Source organism: Homo sapiens, chromosome 8 (genome assembly GCF_000001405.40).
Source record: "Homo sapiens chromosome 8, GRCh38.p14 Primary Assembly".
NCBI classification, from domain to species: Eukaryota; Metazoa; Chordata; class Mammalia; order Primates; family Hominidae; genus Homo; species Homo sapiens.
This window is the reverse complement of record NC_000008.11, coordinates 57870917-57897259: the sequence shown is the minus strand read 5'-3', so window position 1 is coordinate 57897259 and position 26343 is coordinate 57870917. Positions and strand designations below refer to the sequence as shown.

Below are 26343 nucleotides of genomic sequence, written 5' to 3'. Positions count from 1 at the left end.
TAGGCAGAGATTCTGATTTGGAGTTTGAGCTTTAGGAGAAGCTATTTCTAATAGTGTTTGATTAATCAATTAGTCCATTTATTGAGCTTCTACCACATGTCATCTAGTGTTCTAGATGGTAGGACTCTAGCAGTGAACAAGAAAAGATACACTTCCAGCCCTATTCTAGTGGTAGAGAGATAAAATATACATGAGAATGTAATAATGTATGAAGTAGTGATAACTGCTAGAGGAAAATAAAGCAGGAGAAGGAGGAGGATGGGTCACTGTTATAGGATATTCCTCCTTGAGGAGATGACATTTGAACAGAGACCCGGATGTAGTGAGTGAGAAAGTGGACCCTGCAAATTCCTAGGGTCAGGGAGCTGCAGGCGAAAGAATCAGTGAATTCATAGACCCTTGGGCAGAATTGGGTCTATGAGCTTAGCTCTAAAATGCCCTGCATGGAGTTCAGGGTTGAAGAGAGGTAGAGGGAAAGTGGGAAAAGGTAAAGAGAAGTAGCCAGGAGTCATGTCATGTAGGGACTGGGAGATCATAGTAAGGACTTTGGAATTCCTTGAAAGCGGGATGGGTGGCCGGGTGCGGTGGCTCATGTCTGTAATCCCAGCACTTTCGGAGGCTGAGGTGGGCAGATCACAAGGTCAAGAGTTCAAGACCAGGCTGGCCAAGATGGTGAAATCTCATCTCTACTATAAAAAAAAAATACAAAAAAATTAGCCAGGCATGGTGGCGGGAGCCTGTAATCCCAGCTACTCAGGAGGCTGAGGCAGAGAATTGCTTGCACCTGGGAGGCGGAGGTTGCAGTGAGCCAAGATCGCGCCACTGCACTCCAGCCTGGGCAACAGAGCCAGAGCAAGACTCCGTTTCAAAAAAAAAAAAAAAAAAAAAAAAAAAAAAAGAAAGTGTGATGTGAAGCCATGTGTCCACATAAGTGGAACAGATTGTGTATTACACAATCATGTCATCATTTTAAATTCTGAGTTATGGCATTGCAGGAACTTAAGAAATGAATGGGGTGTTATTCCTGCCCCCATGGAGTCTATAATCTAGTAATGTGGATTTCAGGAAAAATTAAACAGATTATATCTTCTGTCACTTTAAGTGATGTATTTTATGGTCCTGGGTTATCGGGAGTAAGAAAAATTGACATGGCCAGAGGACAAAAATGGAACCAATTTTGTGTAAAACAAAAAATTATAATTGTTAGAAAAAGTAATACTTAACTTTATTAATTTGATTCTAAAACATGGGTTAATTCCATCACGAACAGTCAGTATTGTAAACTGGTAAGGGTAAATGCAGAGTACTTTTGCCGCTTTTCCTCATTTTCTCTCAGGTGACAGGCATTGCTGGTCAATTACACGACCCTCCTCTTCTTATGGGCATTTTCAAAGTCCTCTTCAACCCAGGAATCTAAGCAGCATCTAGCCATCAGCTAGAGTTCAGTGCATGGGCACATTTATAGACATATTTACTATCTGGTGAAGTAACTGGAGACAGGGGCTAAACTGACCACTTTCAAGAGGTTGTATATGCCACTGCATCTATGAATCTGTCATTTCAACAGAAATCAATCAATTCAGTGAAAATGTGCAGCCAATTGTTTGGTGTTGGGTGTAGAAAAGTAGTTCATTTTCTTTTGCCCCTGTGTACATAAAAAGAGAAGTAGATGAAATTTGAAGAAAAGACAAGAAGGTAGAAGAAATTTTTTGAGAGTCAATTCTAGCATTTCCAGAAGTTGGCTTTAAAAGCTCACTAATATTCCAATTAGAATATTCCAAGACGAACACAAAGTTATATCTTGATTATATAACCTTCAGTGAGGAAAGCATGGTATCTTCTAGAAATTAGATTTGTTGTTGTATTTATTGTTCAGTGTTCTATCTTGAGCTATGACAATATATACATTACATAAATTAATATATTTAATATATTCACTCCTTCATAATCAGGATAAATATATTCAGCTAGATAGATGACTAATTTATTCATCTTTGCTCAAAATAGACTTTCAGGTCATTAGGTGTCATACAGCTAAGAAGAAAGGGAAATTAATTGGAGAAAGCACTATTTAAGGAAATCCTGCAGAGCCTGAGGCAGGTGCTCAGTAATTGCAGAGATGGTAAGGATTAACCCGTCATAATCTGTCTTTATTTTTCAGTAATAAGAGCCTTCATTTGTCAATCAGTAGTAGTGCTCAAATTTTTAATTAGTTTCAGAGTTGAATTTATAAAGAAAATATTTCCTTAAAGTTTTTACAATCTATTACTTAAAGGAGCATTAAGCTATTATTTTACCATCTATTACTAATAACCAAAAGCTTGTCCTTGAAAGTATCTATTTGAATATAAAACTATATTTAATGCAAATGATAAACTACACAGATGTCCTCTGTATCCTGGGAGTCCGTAAGAGTCTTACGTTTCCACCATAAGGACCTTGTCTTATCTCTTGTCTTATGCCCTGGTTTTGTTTGTGTAGCTGACCTGTTGGATGCAGTGACAGGTGGGGAGTTAAATAAAATCAATGTCCTGAACTGTTGTGTTCTAAATTTCTCTTGGAAGTATAAGAAAATTGCTCTCTTCCAGAGTCTACCCTGTCCAATTATTGTTCTAAAAAGAATTTTTGGCATAAAATATTACAATTGTAATCTGCATGATGAGTTTTTGATTCCTGTTTCATTTTCTAATTTGTAAGTAGAAACAACAAAGTGGCAAAGTTTGCCAGCTGATTATTTCCTGCTTCCTTTCTCTTTTGAAGATAAAGCCAATGGTGTGTGTGTGTGTGTGTGTGTGTGTGTGTGTGTGTGTGATGACAGGAAGAGAGTACTAACTTAAGTAACTTTAGAAATAAGTGGAGCCTGTAAGACTCAAGGCAGAAGAAACAATATGTAAGCCTTGTAATCTAGTTGATAACGGTGTTTCCCATTGGGTAACAGATTAATAATTCTGATTACTACACGTGTGTACTGGAATTGGACAGTTAAGTAAACAGGTGACAGATGGTGGGTGCCAACTTCTTTTTCACTGTTGGAGTGGAAGATATAGGTGGAGGAGGCCACAATGATCTGTGGTATAATGGATAAGAGTTGGGGACATCAGTATGAACTCATATTTAGCTCAATATAGATACAGATGGTTACATATAGAAATGCCTACAGATATGTGTATATGCACAGATTACTATGCACAAATATATTTCCTTGCCCTGTCAGCTGAGAAGCAGTGAATACCCCAGAAGCAAGAAGCACACTTAGAGCTCGGATCTTTGTTTCTAATACCATTCACAAGTGAAAGGACAATGGCAGGCTCAAGGATTCGGGCAGGAAATAAGCAAGATAATTCTGCAGCATCTTGTAGTGCCATAAAGTAAGAAATTGCTAAAATAAAACAAAAGAAAAACCACCCTTTACACACACACAATGATGGGAATATGTCAAAAGGACAAAAAGCCAATTGGAAGAGCTTCCACTGGTCAAAGCTGGAAGTCTTTGTACAAAAAAAATAAGTAAAGTAATATTGGATTGTAACCCAAAGTAGAAAATAAATGTCCATGAGTCCATATTGATAAATAAAACAAATGGATGAGGGGAATAAATTAATCTCCTTTACAGAAGAATTCAAAAGAATTACCGTATATACCTTGCACTCAAGAAGGTAGAGCATGACTCTCTATTCCTACAATGTGGGCTGCACATAGTGACTTCCTTCTAAAGGGCACGTTATGGAAAGGGGAGAAAGCTAGGGTAACTTTACAGTGAGAAACCTGACAAACCTATCTTATTCATGTATTCAAAGTCAACATCACCAGTGATGAACCATGTTGACAGGTATGTACCCGCGATATAGTATTATAAAAATGGCACTTTAATCTCTGTGATCCTCCTCCCCAAAATACATAATCCCAGTCTAATTAAAAAAACAAGCAAACAAACAAACATCAGATGAATCGCAACTGAGGAACAGTCTACAAAATGCCTGACTGGTACTCCTCAAAACTTCAAGGTCATCAAAACTAAGAGAAGTCTGAGAAACTGTCACAGCCAAGAGGAGCCTAAGGAGACATGACAACTAAATGCAATTTGGTGTCCTGGAGGGGATCCTGGAAGTGAAAGAGGACATTAGGCAAAAGCTAAGGAAGTCTGAGTAAAGTCTGAATTTTAATTGACAGTAATGTATCAAAAATGTACCATACTACTGTACTAATAATAGAGAAAACGGGGTGGGGTGTATGGGAACTCTGTGATATCTCTGCAATTTTTCTGTAAATTTACAACTGTACTAAAATAAAAAAAAATTAAAAATGAATACAATTAAAACTTGCAAATCTAATTCAAATGCTTTATTAAACGTGAATGGATAGTCTTCTGTTTTCATGTGCTTTGTCCTAATGTAATTGGTAAAGTACAAGAAATTAAAAGAGAATGGAACCCTTAATTACTTACTGAAAGTTATGTCTGGCTGCCTTTTCTATGTCCTCTGTAAAGCAATTAAGAACATTTTAAACTAAAGGTTAGCTCTGAAAGGAACATTGTACATGAAAATCAGGACAAATATTTTCTCCCGTGTTTCCCCACTCCGGCTGTAAAACAATATCATCACCTAATAAAAATATTTTTATCTACTATTATCCCAAATGAATATTCTTTAATTATGTAGTAAATTAATGCAGGCTATGTTTGGGTTATCCTCCTATAGCTGTGGGGTTTAAATTGGCAAACTGCATGCTTATGAATGCTGGAAAGAAAATGTTCAAAATACGTAATAATGGTTTGTAAAACTGTAGACAAAAATGGTCTTTCTGAAATTAATTATATATGTAGATATAGTCAGAAGTTTCATTGGCTTTTGCTAGATAGTATAACATACACAAAGTTTCTTTAAATGTAAGGTTGATGGTTTCATTATCAAACATATAAACCGGAATTCCATATTCTTTTTTCCCAATGCCTATTATTTTGGAACATTTTGAAAGGTGATGTTGTGTACAGAAACATAAATGGTTGTAATTTAAGGCACTGTATGCAGTTTGACAAATAGATTTTGACAATGGTACTCCATCAATATTTTACTGAGAATGAAAAATGAACATCAGACCATTTTATCTATTCTCTCTAGAGCCTAGTAACCTATTGCTTTGCTCCAAGGGAAGTCCTAGCTCTTCTAAAGAATATGGTCTTTTTTAACCTCTCAGGGAAACTTCAGTGCCATCTGTCCACTTTTTATTTATGCTTTAATAAAAGCCTTCTAGTCAATCTAAGGCTGGTGGTACTTAGCTAGGGCAAAGCTCAGTGAATAATGGTCCCTTTCAGGACACTCCATTTTGATTTCAACCGAATGGATAATGATGTCTGACATGTGCCCTGCCAGGAGGAATGAAGGTTATCCTCAAGCATCAGCCTGTCCGTGGCCTTCCCGTCAGGGCACAGCTACATCCTCCATCACCTCTGTGGCTCGAAAAAGCCCGGGACCGGGAGTCCGGGCTGTAAAATGACTCTACAGCCGGCCGCTCACTCGCTGCGTCATTTGCATAAATCCCTCCACTGCTCTGGATCTAATTCTCTCACCTGAAAAAAGAGCAACCCCCCACCTCCCAAGAAAATTAGTTTCCTTCCTTCTCAGATTCTAATGGCCTCATGGTACAAATCTAGGTTTAGGAATCATAAATCGTATGCCATTCTTCCTTGTGATGCATTTGGGAAGGAATTTTGAATACAACTGATGGGAGTGCAGTGATGTGTGCAACCGACAGACAGGCAAGTGCGAATCTCATTAGTGTTAAATTGTTATGTAAAATCATGATCAAAAGTGACATGCTTGTTTTTCCTGGCTTGCCAAAAAAACTAATATAAAAATCTTAACCTTAAACCTTGAGAGGTACTTAACGCAGTCTTGAAAAGACATTGCTTGTAAGTGAAGGATGGAGATTAAACAGTTATTGCTGATTATTTCTAATGATACTCCCAGATATGTTTTAAATGTTACCTACTGGTACTATATCCATAGCCACAATTTCCTAGGCAATCAAGTTGATGATGATTTTATAGAATCTTAGATTCTGTGTCTTAGTGAGGAACACAAGACAGATCTGAAAGATGCATCCTATTAATTTAAAATTTTTCTTAGAGACTAATTTTAGCTATGTTATATATATCTACAGTGATGCTCCGCATAATGACGTTTTGGTCAACGATGGAACGCATATGTGGAGGTGGTCCCATCAGATTATAATGGAGGTGAAAAATTTCTATCACCTAATGAGGTCATAGCCACTGTAACATCTAGTGCAACGCACTACTCATGTGTTTGTGGTGATGCTGGTGTAAACAAACGTACCTACATAAAAGTACAGTGCACTGTTACAGACAGTACATAATACTTGATAATGAAAATAAATAAATGTGTTACTGGTTTATATATTTACCATACTATACTTTTTATCACTATTTTAGAGCGTGATCCTTGTACTTGTATGAAAAAAGTTAACTGTGAAACAGCCTCAGGCAGGTCCTCCAGGCAGTATCCAGAGGAAGGCATTGCTATCACAGAGATGACAGCTCCATGCCTGTTATTGCCCCTGAAGACTTTCCAGTGGGACAGGATGTGGTGGTGGAAGACAGTGATATTGATGATCCTGACCCTGTGTTGGCCTATGATAATGTAAGTGTTTGTGACTTAGTTTTTTAAGCAAAAAAAGCCTATAGAATAAGGATATTAAAAAAGAAAATATTTTTGTACAACTGTACAATGTGTTTGTGCTTTAAGCTAAGAGTTATTACAACAGTCAAAAAGTTAAAAAAAATCAACAAACATAATATAAAAAAGTTGTAGTCAGCTAAAGTTAATTTATTATTGAAGAAATAAAATTGTTTTTACAAATTCAGTGTAGCCTAAGTGTACAGTGTTTATAATGTACAGTAGTGTACAGTACTGTCCTAGACCTTCACATTCACTCACCGTTCACACACTGACTTACCTAGAGTAGCGTTCAGTCTTGGAAGCTCGATTCTTGATAAGTGCCCTATACAGATGTACCATTTTTATCTTGTATATTGTATTTTTACTGAACCTTCTCTTTTTTTTGTTTCTTTCTTTCTTTTTTTTTTTTTTTTAGGGATCTCAATATGTTGGCCAAGCTGGTCTCGAAATCCTAGCCTCAAGCAATCCTCTAGCCTCGGCCTCCAAAAGCGGTGGAATTACAGGCATGGGACACCATGCCTTGCCTTTACCTTTTCTACATTTAGATATGTTTGGACACAAAAATGCCCCTGGGTTACAATGGCCTACTGTATTCAGTACAGTAACATGCTGTGCAGGTTTGTGGCATAGGAGCAATAGGTTATACTACAGCTATAGGCTATAGGCCTAGGTGTGTAGTGTGGCTTTGCCATTTGGGTTTGTGTAAGTGCATTCTATGATGTTTGCACAATAACCACAAAATCACTAAATGATGCATTTCGGAGACTGTATCCCCACCATTGAGTGATGCATGACTTTGTGTGTGTGTGTGCGTGTGTGTGTATATGTGTATATATCTCACTTATTAGGCATAAAAATGTTACAAATTTAGATGCTATAGATAACAGTATATCTGATACTGTATATTACTACAGATGCTGTGGGGATTAGAAAGATAAGAATGTCATGACCAACTTTTTATACCACTAAATATGAAAATAGGTGTAATATACAAATTCCTAGAGAAATATGTTACCAAATCCGACTAATATATGAATGCAATTTACCACATTAAGAAATAAAGAAAGCAAAGTTTTATGATCATCTTATAAGCTTCAGAAAAATCACTGGTCACATTCAACAATCATTCAGTATACAAACTTACAGCAAATTAGAAATGGAAAAGAACTTTCAAAACCTGATGAATGACATCTACAGAAACCTACAGCAATATCATACTCAGTGATAAGATTTTAAAATGAGGAACAAGCTGAGGATAGCCACCATCACTACTTCTAATAGACATTATTCTGAAACTTTTATTTATTGTCATAAGACAAGAAGGCAGAAATAAAGCCATGGAGAAGAAAAGAAACCCATTGTCTTTATTTGCAGATGGCATGATTATCTACATAGAAAACCCCAAATCTATGAATAAATGATTAGTATAAGAGTGTTTAACAATGTTCTCAGATGAAAGAACAATATACGAAAGTCAGTTGCATTTTAATTTGTCAGCAATAAACACAATTTTTAAAAGCTAACACTTAAAATAGCAACCACAAAAAGGATACATAGGAACACAACTAAAAAGAGCTGTGCAAGAAATTAGTTTAGAATATTATATAATGTATTGAAAGATATTAAAGAGCTCTTTCATGTTTTGAAATATGTCAGACAAACAAGAGTATATCTAACATAAATGACAATGAAAAGAATAAAATGGTATACCAACCACCAGCTTGAGAACATCAACAGTCTCTTTGAAGTGTCTCCTTGCCCTGCACTGTCCAAAAGTTTGTGTTACTCATTCCCTTGCTTTCCTTTATTCTTTAGTATGTTGCATTTATCTCTCACTATTTATTTGGTTTTGCCTGTTTTGAATTTATCTAAGTGGAATCTTATAATCAGTGACCTTCCTTGTCCAGCTATTTTGGAAATGCATCCAGAACGATCACACAGCTCTAGTACATTCACTTTCTCTAGTAGAGGGTATCTTACTCTATGAACCTGTAAACTTATTTCTGTCCAGTCAGCTCTGAGTAGATATTTGGGGTGTTGTCAGTATTTCTGCCATTAGAAACAGTTCTGCTATAAAGGTCATTCTGCATGGATTCCTGGTGAACCTGTGTAAGATTTTCTCTAGAATACATACCTAGAAAGAGAATTGTTGGGTTGAAGGGTACATAGACAATTTCACTTTACTAGCTAATGTTTTCCAAAGTTTTACCCTTTTGTGCCTCTATCACCAGTGTGTGAGAATTCCTATTTACCTTTGGCAGTACAAACACTGTCAGACTATTGACTTTTTGCCAGTCAGGTTGGTATGTGATAATATCCCATTGTGGCTATAGTTATAATATTTCCTATTGCTGCTGTAACAAATTACCACAGATTTAGTGGCTTAAAGCAGCACAAATATATAATCCTGTAGTTTTTGGAGAAATCCAAAATCATTCTCATGGGGTTAAAGTCAGGCCTTGGCAGCGCTGGTCCTTCTGGAGGCTGAGGGGAGAATCTGTCTCACCATTTTCAGCTTCTAGGTGCCACCTAGATCCCTCGGCTTGTGACCTTTCCAGTGATAATCAGTGGATAATCCAAAGTCATCTTCCTATATCAAGATCCTAACTTAATCACATTAGTAAAGTTTCTTTTGTCTTGTAAAGGGATATATTCAAGGTTCTGGGGATTAGAACGAGGACTTCCTGGGAAGGCCATCACTCTGTCAACTGCAGGAGTTTTAATAACATTTTGTGAAATGCCTTCCCAGTACCTCTCCCTTTAGATTTCCACCTTACTCAGCAAAACACATTTTCTCTGCTAAAAGATATCTTTTTTGCTGGAAGGGCACATTATTTTGATTTGGTGCTTATTTTTATTTTTGTGTTAAACAGATATTTCGGATTATTTTTTTCTCTACCAGACATTGCTAGGACTTTAGTCCCTATTTTTCTACATCTCAATCTAGTGAAGCTACCAGCCAGGCACTGCCTGTAGCATCCACCACCCCACCTCTGACAGAAGCCAGCCAACATCTCTAAAACCATATCTACCTGGATTTTCTCAGTTATATGTAGATTTATCCCTGAGTTCACTTTATCTTTCCTTGGACATTTATGTTTGAGCTGAAAAATAATTGGCCCTCTCTCCCTTAAACTCCTATCTTTAAAGAACTGAGTGTGAATTTATGTTTTGGATGACTTATCTAGGAGGCAAAGAGCATTGCTGTTCTCTTTGTCCTAAACTTTATTTTTTTAACCTGTCCAATCATACAGGTTATAAGCATATTGACTAAAAACTGAAAAATAGGACTCATTAAAGCTAAGAATTTATGTTCATCAAAAGACACTGTAGGAAGAGTAAATAGGTAAGAAAATTGGGTAAAACATTTGCAATACCTGTACTTCATATTCACATTTCACATACAGAAAGAATGCTTATAAGTGAATATAAGGTAGGTTTTCCAATGAAAAAGTGGCCAAATGACATGAACAGAGACTTTATAAGAGAACATATCCCAATGACTTCTGTGCATATGAAAAGATAGGTACTCAACATCAGTTGTAATCAGGGAAATGAAAATTAAAAACATGCCCACCCACCAGAAAAATAAGAATCTTAGAAATGGTCAACATCAAGCATTAACAAGGATGATGAACTATTGGAATTTCCATTCGTTGCTAGTGGGAGTGTAAAGTGGCACAGCTATTTGGAAAAACTCATTTTCTACTAAAGTGTAACATAAACGTATCCTGTGACACAGCAATTCTAATCTGAGTTAAATATCAAATAGAAACGAGTACATTTGTCCACAAAATAACAAGAAAAAGAGTATTTGTGTATTATTTTTGACAGGCCCAGATGGAAATGATCCAAATGTCCATCAAAGGTAGAAAGGTATGTGTGTACATACATACATATGTGCTATCCATGTATACACACGTGTATGCCCACATGCATATATACATATATATGTATAGACACAACACACATATGTACTTATGTATACATGCACACATATGTATATATACACGTGCATGCTTACAGAGGTATGTATGTGTTCATTCAGCTGGCTACTTAAGATTTGTGCACTTTACTGAAACTATATATGCCACCCAAAAAGCAACAGTAGGTTCTTAAGGCAGAACTTTTGGGAAGTGGTTTTAAAGATGTTTATATATTCTTTACTACCCTTCCCTTCAAAAAGTGTATCCCAAATCTCTGCTTCTTGAGTGCAATCTGTACTTGGAGACTGGCTTTTAATGAATAGAATACGGCAGAAATGAAGTTGTGCCCCTTCTGAGACTAGGCCAGAGGGGTACATGCTGGAGCTTTCTCTTTGCTCACTCTCTTGGATCACTTACTCCGGGGGAAGCTAGCTGCCACCTTGTGAGGACACACAGTCAGTGCTTTGGAGAGACCCTGTGGCCAGGGTTGGGTCTTCTGCCAACAGCCTCAGACATAAACTGAGGATCCCTGCCAATAGCCTGTGACTGCACCATCTTAGAAGTGGGTCTTCCCACCCCAATCGAGTCTTGGACAACTGTACCTCTGCCTGACATCCTGACTGCAACCTCATGAGAGACTCCCAGTCAGATCCACTCAGCTACAACACTCTGAAATTTCTAGCTCCCAGAAATTGTGAAGTAATACAATTTTGTTGTATTAAGCTACATTTTAGGGTAATTCATTTTGTCACAGCGGATGACTAGTGCACTTCTCCACTTATGAATCAGAAGATTTGGGCAGGAAACTGTGCTTTATTTTCCTCTTCTCTACTATGGGGAATAGAACTTACCAGAAGTATGCCGTGTAAATATGACCCTACTGGAAAAATACTGATGGCATTATTCCATTCACCAGGAATTCCTTATTACTAAGTTTCCTTTGGAAGAAAACATAATTGTTTGCTCAACTTTATATCTGTCTCCATAATTTGTTAAATATGACTATGATTTAATCACCTCTTGATTTCAGATTCTAAGGTCATAACATTTATCTGGAAAACAAATAAACCAAAATACGGTGTTACAATGTCAGGCAACAGTGATCTCCAAGTGGGAGGAGGGGAGGATTTTATTCAGACCAGAAGTCATCTATGAAATATTAACTCATTCTTGTTTAAAGATGAAATCTTTATGAATAGAGTTAAAATGTATCAATATTGTTCCCCGAAATGTTTAACTCTGTTGGTCTTCTGAAGCACATCCAATAAGTTTTGGTGGCCTTTCCTTATGCTACTTTCCCTAGAGATGAATGCTCTACCATACATGGCAAAAAGTAAGTGGAGAGCTACTTTAATAAAGATTTCTTCCAAGAAATTCAGTCATAATTTCTAACAACAGCAAAATGAGACATAAGTCTCTTACATTAGAAGAATTTGGATAAAATATAAATGGAAAAGGCAAGACATGGCTTGATAAAATTAATTTCTGACGATTTAGCCTATTAAATTGAATAAATCCTCTTACATTAAATGAAGAAAACATGGAAATAGTTCAAAAGAAGAAAACACAATCTCCCCAGAGCATGACAATATAAATGGTGTATTTAAATTATATTTCAATATTTCAATGTTCTTACAGCTAGATTATATTTGTTAACACTTTGTTCATTAAGTTCTGTAGATATTTGAAGTTCTTACATCCACCAAAAGCTAGGTAATATTTTTTAAGTTAAAACTTTTTTTCATATACTTTTTAAAGTAAAAACAGATTATATTCTTGGAGTATAAAATTGTTGGTCAGGCACGGTGGCTCACGCCTGTAATTCCAGTACTTTGGGAGGCTGAGATGATAGGATCGCTTAAGGCCAGGAGTTCAAGACCAGCCTGGGCAACATAAGAAGACCCTGCCTGTACCAAAGGAAAAAAAAAGAATAGCTAGGTGTGGTGGCATGCACCTGTGGTCTCAGCTACTTGGGAGGCTGAGGTGGGAGGATCACTTGGGCCCAGGAGGTGGAGGCCACAGTGAAATGTGATTGTGCCATTGCACTCCAGCCTGGGGGACAGAGCGAGACACTGTCTCAAAAACAAAACAAAACAAAACAAAAAAAATTAACACTAGGTAATCTGAGAACTCTGGCTAATGCAGATGTACTCATTTTCCATTTCCTCTTCTATGTGTGCCTGAACTCAAGTTTGAAATACAAGCCATTAAAAAGCAGGTCAACATCCATGAGGTATGAGAACAGCTTTGATTATAGTTATTTTTGTGAAAGATGAAGATGATTTATCCTATGCTGATTATAGGTTTACCGTCCTCTCAGTGCGAGCTTTAAAATTATTCCCAACTTTATCAGTTGTGTTAAATGAAATCATGTTTGCATTTATTCTTCTTGATAAAAATTGACTGATGAAGAATAATTTTTTTAAAGGGCTGTAATGGAAAGATAATGCACATTGAAGTTAGGCCCTAAGTTAAAGCCTGCTTTTGCTGCTTTCTGAGATACCCCAGATAAGTGACTCATTCTGTGAGCATCAATTTCCCCAACTGCAAAACAGGGCTAATTAGAGTCATTTCTTTGGATAGTGAGGATTACAAACAAAACAATGTTTGCAAAGTTAATAGTGCAGTGTTTGACTAATAGAAAGTGCTTGGTAACCAGCTTTATTGTTCTTTTATCATTTATTAATATTTTAAAATAGTTTTACAATTGTTGTTACTATTTCTTATTACTACTAGTATTTCTTTGATATCAGTTTCCAAAAAAGCATATGCTAGTGATTATTTACATATTGAAAATGATTTTTATGTAGATTGGCTTTTCCTCAGGAAATGCTTTTTATTTACATGTGTGGACAAAGGAAACACATGCATAAATATCCCTGTGGGAGTGAAACCCAACTCTAGGTTGCCCCTAACCTCAACAGGTGTTTTTTTGTCCTGTAATTATATATTAGTTGGCTAAGGTTGTCATAACAAAGTGCCACAGATTGGGTGGCTTAAACAACAGAAATTTATTTTCTTAAAATTTTGAGGCTGGAAGTCAGAAATCAAGACATCAACAGGGTTGACTCCTTCTGAGGTCTCTGTTTTTGGCTTGTAGATGGCCATCTTCTCCCTGTGTCTTCACATGGTCTTCCTTCTGTATGTGTATCTGTCTGTGTCCTAATCTCCTCTTCTTAGAAATCATATTGGCTTAGGGCCTACTCTAATGATCTCATTTTACCTCAATTAGATCAAATCTCAAAATATAGTCACATTCTGAGCTGCTGAAGTATAGGACTTCAACATATGAATTTTGGAGGGAACCAGTTTAGTCCATAATGACTTCCAAGGACTGAGTGTGTTTGAACATTGGGAAAACTCATGACAGTGGCCCAAACGGGCCATTAAGAAAGGAGGTTTGGTTACGCCTGTAATCCCAGCACTTTGGGAGGCCGAAGCGGGCAGATCACGAGGTCAGGAGATTGAGACCAACACCGTGAAACCCCATCTCTACTAAAAATACAAAAAATTAGCCAGGTGTGGTGGCGGGCGCCTGTAGTCCCAGCTACTCGGGAGGCTGAAGCAGGAGAATGGCGTGAACCTGGGAGGCGGAGATTGCAGTGAGCTGAAAGCACTCCACTGCACTCCAGCCTGGGCGACAAAGCAAGACTCTATCTCAAAAAAAAAAAAAAAAAAAGGAAAGGAGGTTTGGTTTCAGGCAGAGTTTTGTTTACTCATGAGGGTGGCGGATGGAGGGTAGTTTAAGGGGATAAAGAGGAGGGTTTGCGAGGCTGGATTTGGCTGCAGAAGCTAATCAAAAAGGGTTTGCCTGACTGTATGGGGCAGTCTTGTTCAAGTGACTTCTTTATTTAAATAGTGGAGTAGAATTTTGTAATTCAGTTTGATGTTGAATTCTGTATCATTTAGCTGATACCGTGTAACAAGCCAGCCTAAAATTAGCAGCTTAAAGTAATAGTTTTTTCCCTGAGATTTGACTTTGTGTCCTTTCTGGTTTGGGTTGACTTAAATGATCTTTGTTGGACTCTGTAGTCAGCTGGAGTCTGGATGATCTAAGGTGGCTTCACTCTCTTGCCTGATGGCTGGCAGGCTGATGGGCTGAGTATCTTGGTTTTTTCCAATGTGACCTTACATCCTCAGGCAGGGAGCTCAGGCTCACTTGCATGGTAGTTACAATGTTTCAGCTGCACCAAGAGAGCAAGCCTCAGCCCACAGGTGCTTTCCAGGCCTCAGCTGGTGTCACACTTACAAAACTTCATTTCCCAAAACAAATTTCCTGACAAAGTAAGTGGAAGTGATTTTTTGTTTTTGTTTTTGAGACGGAGTCTTGCTCTATCACCCAGGCTGGAGTGCAGTGGCGCGATCTCGGCTCAGTGCAACCTCCACCTCCCGGGTTCATGGCATTCATCTGCCTGCCTCGGCCTCCCAAGTAGCTGGGATTACAGGCGCCCAAAATTGGTAATCATTTTTAAAGAAAAATACAACTTACCAAAATTGATTTGGTAGAGCCAGATAGTCTAAACCAGCAGTCCCTACCCTTTTCGGCACCAGGGACCAATTTCATGGAAGACAATTTTTCCACAGACTGGGAGTAAGGGGGTTGGAATAGTTTGGCGATGAAACTGTTCTACCTCAGATCATCAGGCATAAGGTTATCATAAGGAGCGCACAACCTAGATCCCTCACATGCGTAGTTCACAGTAGGGTTTGTGCTCCTATGAGAATCTAATGCTGCAGCTGATCTGACAGAGGGTGGAGCTCAGGTGGTAAAGCTTGGTTGCCACTCACCTCCTGCTGTGTGGCCTGGTTCCTAACAGGTCGCAGACAGGTACGCCTCCAAGGCCCGGAGATCGGGGACCCCTGGTGTAAACAAACTATAGTTGAACCTTGAACAACACAGAGGTTAGGAGCACCAACCTTTCTGTGAAGTCTAAAACTTGTGTATAACTTTTGACTCTTCCAAGACTTAACTACTATTGACTGGAAGTCTTACTGGTAACATAAACAGTCAATTAACACATAAATTGTATGTTGTATGTATAATATATCACGTTCTTACAATCAAGTAAGCCAGAGAAAAGAAAATGTTATCAAGAAAATTATAAGGAAGAGAAAATATATGTACTATTCATTAAGTGGAAGTGAATTATCATAAAGATCTCTTTCCTTGTCATCTTCATGTTGAGCAGGCTGAGAAGGAGGAAGAAGAGGAGGGGTTGGTCTTACTGTCTCACGGGTGACAGAGGTGGAAGAAAATCTGCATGTAAGGAGACCCGTGAAGTTCAAGCCCTGTTGCTCCAGAGTTAACTGTAATTATACTAGAACAAACAAAGAAGTTAGTTAAAGAGCCCCTTGCCCCCAGATTCACCATTATGACTTTGTAGAGTATATGTATTAAACTGTTAAAACAAGATAAGCTCAATTCTATTCAAACTAGAGTATTAAAATACATGGGAAATTTCTAAATTCTTTCTGTAAAGTGAGTATAATTGTGCTGCCTAGCATAAGATGGCAACATAAAAGAAATCACACACCAACTTCGCTTACTAGCATTGACATAAAATCTTAAATAAGACATCAGCAAATGTGATCCAACAGTATGTGGAAAATTAAGAAACTGTGACCAAGAGAGGTTTATTCCAGAAATGCATGGGTAGATCAATAGTGGGCAATTCATTTGTGTGATCCATTATATTATTAGAGTTCAGGAGATAAATAATATGGATTTCTTCATAGATACAGAAAACGCACTTGGCAGAACTCAACACCCATTCATATGAAAAAGACTAAATGGAGTAGAAATTAATGAATACTTCCTTAACTTATAATATGCATGGTGTGTGTGGGTATGGGATATGTGTGTATTTCCTCTTCAAAGTCTTCATCCTACTTAATCGAGAAATGCTAGAGGCTTTCTTGTTAAACTCAGGAGAATGATAAGGATCCTTACTATTCCTTCTTTTATTTTAAATTATGTTAGAAGAATTACTCAGTGCAATTAGATAAAAATAGAGCAAGTAACAGCATAATAATTGGAAAGGAAAAGGTAGAACTGTCTCTACTTGCAGATGATGTGATTATATATTTGGAAAACCTCAAAGAGTAAAATGAATAGTGACTTTACATCATAAGGTAATTTAGTAAGAAAATTTTGTAAAGTAGCAGGTTACAAAAAGCCTCATATATTCATATAGTCAGACACAAATCAGCTAGAAAATATAATGGAATAGAAAACTTTAAGACAGCCAAACAGAAAATGTACCATGGCATTAACTTAATGAGTAATTTCAAAATTCTGTATGTGGAAAATTATAAAACACATCTGAAAGACACAAAATTAGAATTGAATAAATGGAAGGAGGAGTTTATGAGTAGAAAGGTTCAACATCATGAATATATCAGTTATTCCTAAAATGATTTATATATCTAACATAAATTGTATAAAATGCATTCAGGCTTTTTGCTGGCTTTAATTTGTAAAGAAATAAGCATGAATAGCTGGAAAATCCTGTAGGAAAGCAAGGAGTTGGGCTTTTCCCTACTAAATATTAAGAGATAATATGAAGCCTCTGTTATTAAAGTTTGGTACTGGTTCATACAGACTGAGCAATGGAACAAAATAGAACCCTTGTCACAGATTGAAGTGCATAATGACATGTAGCAGCACAACAAAGGCAGCATGTCAAACAAGGGGGTGATAGATGGAATTTCACAATGTGGTACTGGGATTGCTGAAAGGCTATGCTATTGAAAAAACAAGTCTATTTCTCATACTGAACTCTGGATAAATTGCAAAATTCAGAAGCAGTAAAAGAAAAGATTGATAAATTTGATTACATTAAAAATCACTATTGTGTGGCGATTATCCTTTAGTTAAAACAAAACAATAGAAACATAAGCAAAGGAAAAAGATAAGTGATACACTTGAAAAATATTTGCAGTATATTCACAAAATATGAATACCTCTAAAATGTAACAGCTTCTAGAAATAGAGGGGAAAAGGCCAACAACCATGATGAAAAAATATAGGCTAAAGGTACGAACATGCAGTTCAGGGAAAACAAGATATAAATGGCTCTCAGCCATATGAAAAGCATTGCTTATAACAGGGAAAATGCAATTAAAACTGCTAGAGGATATATTTTCTTACTTATTAGATTGCACAACTCCAAAAGATTAAAATATTCTGTTGGTAGATCGTCTGGAAACAGGTAACCTCATTCTTTTCTGGTAGATTGCAAAATTATACAATACTCATGAAGGAGAATTTGGCAATATCTTGCAATATCTTAGCAATAATTTGCTAATTATAAAGCATTTACCTTTTGACCTAATGGGGCCTAATTGAATAAACTAAGGCAAATTAGTTTATTTGTGCATATATTAATGGAATGAGTAATATCTCTGTATACAATTTTGAATCAATCTCTAAAATATACTTTTTATGTAAAAAAACGCAAAATGGGGAAATTTGTGTACAAAAGATTAAAATTTATATAAAAAAGAGGGAAATAAATAAATATACACACAGATATTCTTATATTGAAAGTGCAGGAGTAAGTCATAAATGGAAATTTTCAGGTTATCCCAAGTGTGAGGGAGGAAATAGAGTGGAGGAGAAGGGCATGGAATCCAGATTTCTCTGCAAATGCCCTATTTTGTACATCTGATTCTATAACAATGTAAACCTTTCGCATAACTAAAAAAGAGAATTAAATTTTAAAATGTCACCCTTAAAAACCAGAAGTAAAATGCAATAGATGAACTTAACTCTGTACAATAACCACACGGAGAGTAACTATTCAAAGTATCTTTAACAACCCTGTAATTCTACTGTCCATTTCCATGGGGATACACCCTAAGGACCAAAAGAATTGCTTCCCTCAGAAAATCATAAATGTTTGATGATAGTGCTGGTTTATTTATTTATTTTTGAGCCGGGGACTCACTCTGTTGCCAGGCTGGAGTGCAGTGGCGTGATCTCGGCTCACTGAACCTCTGTCTCCCGGGTTCAAGTGATTTTCCTGCCTCAGCCTCCCGAGTAGCTGCGACTATAGGCGCGTGCCACCATGCCCAGCTAATTTTCACATTTTTAGTAGAGATGGGGTTTCTCCATGTTGGCCAGGCTGGTCTTGATCTGTTGACCTCATGATCCGCCCGCCTCGGCCTCCCAAAAGTGCTGGGATTACAGGCGTGAGCCACTGCACCCGGCCAGTACTGGTTTATTATTCTGAAACTGTGTCTTTATAGTGTACGATGGAGCAAAGGAATTAATTAGCTTTTTTGACATTAAGAAATGAGATTTTCAGAGTATAAGAAGATGTAAAGTGGATGAGATTAAATAAGCATCTTATAGAGCTGATTTTGAATTTAAAAATTTAGTATAAATTCATGACGTATTTTATCTTAAAATATACATTTTCTAGTTTTTCCATTAAAAGAAATAAAAAAGAAGACATAACCAACTCAGACACAATGAGCACCCCTAGGATGCACATTTGTGCTGAAAGAACTAAGGTGTCTTGGAGAATGGCAGAGTCCAGGCATAGGGTGGGAACTGAATCAGTGGTGATTTACATTTGGCCACAGACCAGGCAGCCCTCTTGCTGTCCTTGCTACTGAGTCACATTATCTTCCTACACCCCTGCTGAGCTCAACCCCCCAAGTTCTGCAGTCAGATAATATATTGCCACAATTTTCTGTCTATCTCATTATAAAATCAATGACAGTTTGGGAGAGTAAAACCTCAAGTCCTCCCTGTGCCGGAAGAAGCTGCACACCCATTGAAGACTGCCTTCAAGATGGAATCCTCTCAGAATCCCAAGTGCGATGGAAGCTGGCGGGAGGAATCCTGTGTCTCTGGCTTACTCTCCCTGACTTCTCACCTCAGCTGGTCCTGGGGCCCAAAGGGAAGTTGGTCAGATGCATTTGAGAGGCTCGTGCCTCTCCCTGTTTTTGTTTCTTCTTCCAACCATTTCTTGGGACCAGAAAGGAGCAGGCTTTTCTTTTATTTCCCCTAAATCATATCTTCCTTTTACCTTAGAGCAGCAAGTTTAGGGCTTCTACCTCTCAGGTGGAAAGAATATCTTCCCTGAACTACAGAAAAGAAAGAGCATGGGTCTCCCAGCTCTGTGGTAAATATGCCAAAGGAGGAGAGAAAGGGATTGGGAAACACTTTCCCTCTCGGCAATGCCTGGCCCTCAAGCCTCTTGTCCTGTAAAATCCTGTGAACGTCAGGTGCTGAATATTCCTCATTCTTTCTCATTAACGCCTTCTGTAATAAACACTAATCTCCTAGACATATGGAGGCTTTAGGCTGACCAATGTAAAAGGGCATGAAGAGAGAAAGGTGAAAAGGAAAGCTCATCAATGATTTGCAAAATGTCTTTCTAATTACATTTATTTTTCTTGTTTTACACATATTTTTATAAACTATAGATGAGTTTTAGAAAGTATATATATTTATACATAGTATAAACTCTAAGAAGATGATATTTTAATTATCATTCATTTTAATTCTAACCTACGAGTTATTCTATTTCGTGTGTGTGTGTGTGTTTAAGATATGGCTCAGGTAACTCAACCAAGGGATGGTAATCAGTATTTATGACAAAATCAGCCTGCACAAATTTGCATTTTTATCTGCTATTCAAAAGTAAAAGGTATTCATTTTCCCAAACACAGGTCTAAGCAGTGAGAATGAACAAACATGACTTGATTATGTCGGTGTCCAATCATGGGATAAGTACAGGTTTGTTAAAAAGAGAGAATTTGAAAATGATTCAAGTAACATGTGAGGCGACAAGCAGGAAATGAATTGGGCAAAGCATGAGACATTAATTGATGCAGTTGAAGCTTAGCATTACAGCCAAGGCACATGTTAGAGGGAAAACCTGAGCAAGAGCCAGTAGTTCAACTCCAAAACCAGAGATGAAAACTTAATTCATATTAAAACAAAGAGTCTTGGCTCTCCCATACCCCTTTCAGAAACATTCATGCATGATCTCTTGTAATACAATTTTCCTCATCTGCTGTAAGCTCCATGGCACAAGAATTGAGCCAAAACTGGGCCCTATGGACTGAAAAGGATTACTTTCCTATCACAGGGGACATTCTCCAACAGTCTCTATTCAATTGCTTTGAAGACAGCTTAGTTTCATTATTTTTCATTTATGTTTCTTTCTAGAGCATCTTCTTAGGGCTCTGAATCAGATTATCAGCACTTTGTTATTTTACCTACTAATGATGCTCCTAAATTTTGGATTCTAGTGAATTTAATTTTTGTGTGCTAAGTTTGCTTAAATGACAGGAGTGCTCACTGCATGGTTAAAAAACAGGCACACACACAAACAAAATTTGCTTCTTAAGGTAGAACAACTTACATATAAATACAAGATTTACACATAACCTGACATTAAATGAGATTTTAGCCTTAGTGTAACCCTAAGCTTATAAATAGATTGGGTTCCAAACAATTGTCAGTCAGTAGATTTTTTTTTTTTTTTTTTTTAGCTTAAAAAAATAAAGCATAGTGCCACAGAAAGAAAGTTATCGGTACTGGGTACCTTCCTAGACAGGAAGCCAGAAGTTCATTTATAGAATGTTAGATCTGAAAGCTCTTTAAAAAGCTAATTTAGTCTTCTCTTCTCACTTGTTAAAAGAAGACAAGGAGCCAATCTACAACACAATGAAATAAAATGGGTTGACCAAGGTCACACAGCAAGTAGTGGGTTCAGCTGGGGCTGGGGTCAGGGTCCTGACCCCTGGAATACAGGGCCCTGACCCCTGGCATACAGGGCTTTTTACTGTGGCTGCTGTCTCTCAGCATGTTCGTAACTCATCAAGTTGTTAGAAACCATTAAAAAGCCTAACTAAAATGAGTTTTTATCATGAGCCTGACTTTCTCAGGATAGGAGAGGCTACATAGAGGTCACAGATTAACCCTGGAAATTCCAGTGCCCTAACACAATGAAAGCATGCTTCTTCCTCTTGCTACATGTCCTGTGAGGGTCAGCAGGGGTCCTGCTCTCCGTGGTGGTTTGGGAACCCAGACGCAGGAAGAGTCCAGCATCTGGTAGTTGCAGTATCAGGAACTTGCGGCCTTTTGGCTGTTGCAACAACAGTGAAACACAGTAGAAGATATGTGGGATGAAAAGAACAATAAACACATTTTAAAAATGCTTTTTGAAGGCTAGGGCTTGAATGAAAGCCGATTATCTTGAGGAGGAGGTACTCATATACGTAGATGGTGACGGAGCTCTGAAGGAGATGTTGGAGTGCTTCCAAAGGAGGATTTGGCGAGCTGGGCCTGGTTCTTTTCCTAGATGAGGAGTCATAGCAGCACGATGCTGTGCTTATCAGACTTCATTAGGTGGGTTTTCACTCACATGGAGAAAGGGAACATTCAGTAGACGTGTTCACACATATGTTTTAATTTTAAAGCCTCATTAGGCACGTAAGATAGCTGTTATCATTTCAACTTTATGGATGGTGGCGAAAGCACAAAGAAATTTCAGCTAAAAATACTCATTGGACAGTTGTCAAGTTGTGCTGATGGGGCTGTGGACAGGACAAGGGTGTTTGCCCTCATATGTGTCTGTGGACACAGGCTGGAGGGGCAGAACAAGCCCTAGAATCCAAGTTTCTTACTTTCTGGTCAACAGCTCTCAGTTTTGCCCTGTAGCTGAAACTAATATATTGTTTCAGCTACAGGGCAAATGCCATGTGTGATGTATGATCAATGTCAGGCCTCTGAGCCCAAGCTAAGCCATCATATCCCCTGTGACCTGCATGTACACATCCAGATGGCCGGTTTCTGCCTTAACTGATGACATTCCACCACAAAAGAAGTGAAAATGGCCTGTTCCTGCCTTAACTGATGACATTACCTTGTGAAATTCCTTCTCCTGGCTCATCCTGGCTCAAAAGCTCCCCTACTGAGCACCTTGTGACCCCCACCCCTGCCAGCCAGAGAACACCCCCCTTCGACTGTAATTTTCCTTTACCTACCCAAATCTTATAAAACGGCCCCACCCCATCTCCCTTCGCTGACTCGCTTTTCGGACTCAGCCCGCCTGCACCCAGGTGAAATAAATAGGCTTGCTGCTCACACAAAGCGTGTTTGGTGGTCTCTTCACACAGGCGCGAGTGAAAATCCTAACAAAGGAATCTTTCGTCTTTGAATGTAGATAAAGTCCAGCATTCCTCAACCTTACATCTGAGGCTTTTAGTTTGGCTGAGCTGAGGCCAGGTTCCTATCCATATAAATATCATCCCCATTCTCCTCCCATACCTCATCTTCTCTTCTCCCTTCCCAGTACCTACATGAATCTGGACACACAGGAGAATTTCTGTAATTGGTGAAGGTGGGAGGGGTTTTAGGTGACAGTGGTAGAATACGGAGGAGATATTATGGCAACTGTTTCCCTTCAAATTCCACAGATTGGATTTGAGATAGCATGATTATGGGTCTTTGAAACTGATTTTCATAAGAAACATGGCATTATTATTCTGGGCAAGGTATATGGGATACGAGTTAACAAAATTACTTGGGAGAGACTTGGTGAAACCCAATAGCAGTGTTGTAGGATTGGGAAAGCATGATGTTCGGCAGCTTTGTACAGGGCTCTGTGGACTCTGCCGTGTTAAGGCATGGATGGTTTAGGAATATGCAGCGACTGCCCTTCTGGCATGGGCAGTGGCATTTTCATGATGTACAGTGTTGAAAACAAGGTTTTTCCAAGTGGCTTTATGCATCAGAGATGGGGACATTAAGGTGAGAAGATGGGGAGACAACAGGAAGTTGCCATTGTCTGTCTTGCCTGTTGCCTGTTGCCATGGGGCCCATGGATCCCATTTGTAGAAACTATTTAAGCAAGCTCTCAAAGAAAGAAATGGAGGCTGTTTCAGTGGCAGGGAAGGTGGTTATAAGAACTTGTTACTGAGTATGTGGGAGTTATGGAGCCAGCAGACAGTAGGATTACATGCTCTTAATAGCATGTAGACTCTCCTCTGGAAAAAAAAAAACAAACAAACGACCAAATCTAACCCATCTTAATCCTTAAATCAGTACCCTTCTAAGAAAGGGATTGTTCTCTTTATGATAAAAATAGTTCCTGTACTATAGAATAAAATGCTTGAGATAGTTTCAGACAATGCTTCTCTCTCAAAAAAATGTAGGAAACAATTTCAGAGCAATTTCTGAAATGCTTCTGCAGAAGGTTGTGTTTGTGAAAGAGTAGGGTTCATGCGAATCAACTCCAGCTTGTTTTGGGAACCTGGAAGGGTGTTAAGGGAACATTCCACACGTTCTCATTCTGCCTTTATTCTTCAGTGCTTAATAATTAAAGATGATAGGCTTCCTTTGTTCTCTCCCTGGTGCATTAAATGTGACCATGGCACTGCACAGCATTGCACAGCATGGAGGTGAAATATTCGGTCAGATTGATGTGTGTTCTTGACACATTCTGTCACTACCATGGGTACTCACAGAGGTATGTCTTTTCTTCGGTGAGAAAAACAGGCAGCAAAAAGGCTGTATTTCCCTTTTATGCAAACTGTTACTGCAGCCTTCCTTAATTTACATGTAGAAACTGAATATTTTATAGTAAACACCTACAACATAAGCCTCATAAATTATTGCACAAGGCTATTACCCCATAACTCAAAAAGAATCATTTATTTTCTTGTTCAGGAAGTATGACTTAAAATAGTTTTGCTACCAGAAGTATTAGAATTTTTCCTAATGGACTCATTGTTCCCCAAAATGGCTTCATCATTTTTCAGCTTCCTATCTTTCCAGTTACTCTCATGCAGACCATAATATCTTTAAAATAGCCAATCAGCTTTCTACTGAGAGAGATCTTTCAAACTTGCATACACAGCTAAGAGACTGAAGAGTTAGGTTGCCTACTGGTGTGATTGGAACCTAAACCAAGTGACTTTGTAGAAAGGATGATGAGAAATTATCTTATTTCATGTGTGCTATAGTCTACTTTTTCAATTCAAATTTAGAGAATATCTATATTTTCTTATTTTAACTCCCTTTTTTCAGATGATACAAGTGATACATGCTTTTTGGTTAAATGATGAATTGTGAAAAGCTTGGTTTTATTTTATTTTTCTAAATAAAATTGTTTTTCCTGGCATTATTAGAAGCTTCAAAAAAATAAAATGTTTATTTTCTGTATTTCTTTTCTGGCCACTATTATTGTTATTTTTTATGCCATTTTAAGATTAGTACTGAAAATAATTTTATTGTATAAGGAAGAGAGGTGCTAACCGTGGTCCACACTGGACCACTAGGAAAAAGAGCTGCTTATACCTGAGTCTGAGTTTTGATGCTATTCCTAACTCTGTGAATGTTAAGCCAGCCATTTGATCTTCATAAATCTTCATTTCTTATTGATAAAATTGGGTAATAACAATATCTGTGTCATGAGGTTGTACAGTACCTAATAACAGATTTATGTAGCCATTCAACATATATTAATTCCCTTCCTTCTTCTAAAACAAAGGTTCTGTGAAGTTGTGATAGAAACCCATCCTTCACTGAAGCAGTCTAACAATGATGTCTGGCCAGAAGTTCCAAATCCCTCCTACCGTTCTCACCATATGGCATTGAGGATTCTCTATAAATCAAGCCCAAGACCATGGGGACTGTGTAATTTTCTTAGGCAGGTAAACTCTGCATGCAGCCTTCCCCCTGGACTAACATTCTGTTGACTTCAGCAGCTGTATGACCTTCCCTGAGCCACTCAATCTTTCTGTGCCTCTGTTTCCTCATCTGGAAATGAGCATTTTAATAAAACCTACCTATAGGTTGTTGAAGAAATTAAATGAGTTAAGATATGTAAAATGCTTATAAGAGTGCTGCAGAGGACATACAGTAAGTTCAATAAATGTTAGTTGCTATTATCAATCTAATGAATTTGTATTTAAAATTCCTAATTATTGCAGTAATAATATGGGTGACTTTTAATGTATGCATGTTTTAGAGTATGCAAATATTTTCAGATAATTTATCTATCTCATCTAAGGCCCCTCCAGACTCTATCAAATAGTCATTACCATTCCTTTTTTACAGATATGGAAACGGAAGTTCAGAAAGTTTAAGTACTCTACTTCCCCCAGTGGCCAAGAAAAAGCAAACAATGGAGCTGCAAGTTGGTTCAAATTTTTCTGATTTCAAATTCCACAGTCTTCTCGGTGCCACAAATGCAACCAAAATTTTGATTGGCTTTTGGTATAGCAGATTGTGTATGAAAATCTCAAAACTCATTACTGAGAAAGAATGTTTTAAAAAGCCAGATGAAGGATTTTCCTGTTGGCAATTTCTGTCAGTGTAGGAACAATTTCTTCTTTCCTAGAAGAAAGGCAGCTGTAGATAGCCTCACCAGAGTGGCAGGTCCAGAGTGACAGTTCTTTCTTTGTCTAGTGGCAGTGAAAAGATTGGTTTGTAAACCAATATGTACAATTTTACAGATATGTAAAAGACTCAAGAGACAAGTTTCGGTACGGTGCTGGGAGATTTTCATGTACTTTAACAGAGCAATATAATCAAACTCATGGAATTAAACATCATTGTTCATGGCATTTACATATTGTGGGGAAGAAGAAGAGAGGAAAAACAGAGTTCAGAGGGGTTACCATAGGGAACAGCAGCTTTCAAATGAGATGGATACTTAGCCAGACTGTCTGATTTTAAATAGGGCTTTGAA

General features: G+C 37.8%; 1 long non-coding RNA gene across 1 annotated transcript in view, besides 1 other annotated feature; it reads right to left on the bottom strand.

Moving 5' to 3' along the window:
• The window catches only part of LOC105375856 (uncharacterized), a 103037-nt gene that overhangs the window by 61255 nt on the left and 15439 nt on the right, over positions 1 to 26343 (bottom strand). The gene's annotated exons all lie outside the window — the stretch shown is intronic.
• Positions 19364 to 19564: a silencer, noted in NCBI's record as "peak7034 fragment used in MPRA reporter construct". NCBI's record gives its function as "represses an SCP1 promoter by STARR-seq MPRAs in K562 erythroleukemia cells {active_cell/tissue: K562}" and the evidence as "EXISTENCE:reporter gene assay evidence [ECO:0000049][PMID:32103011]".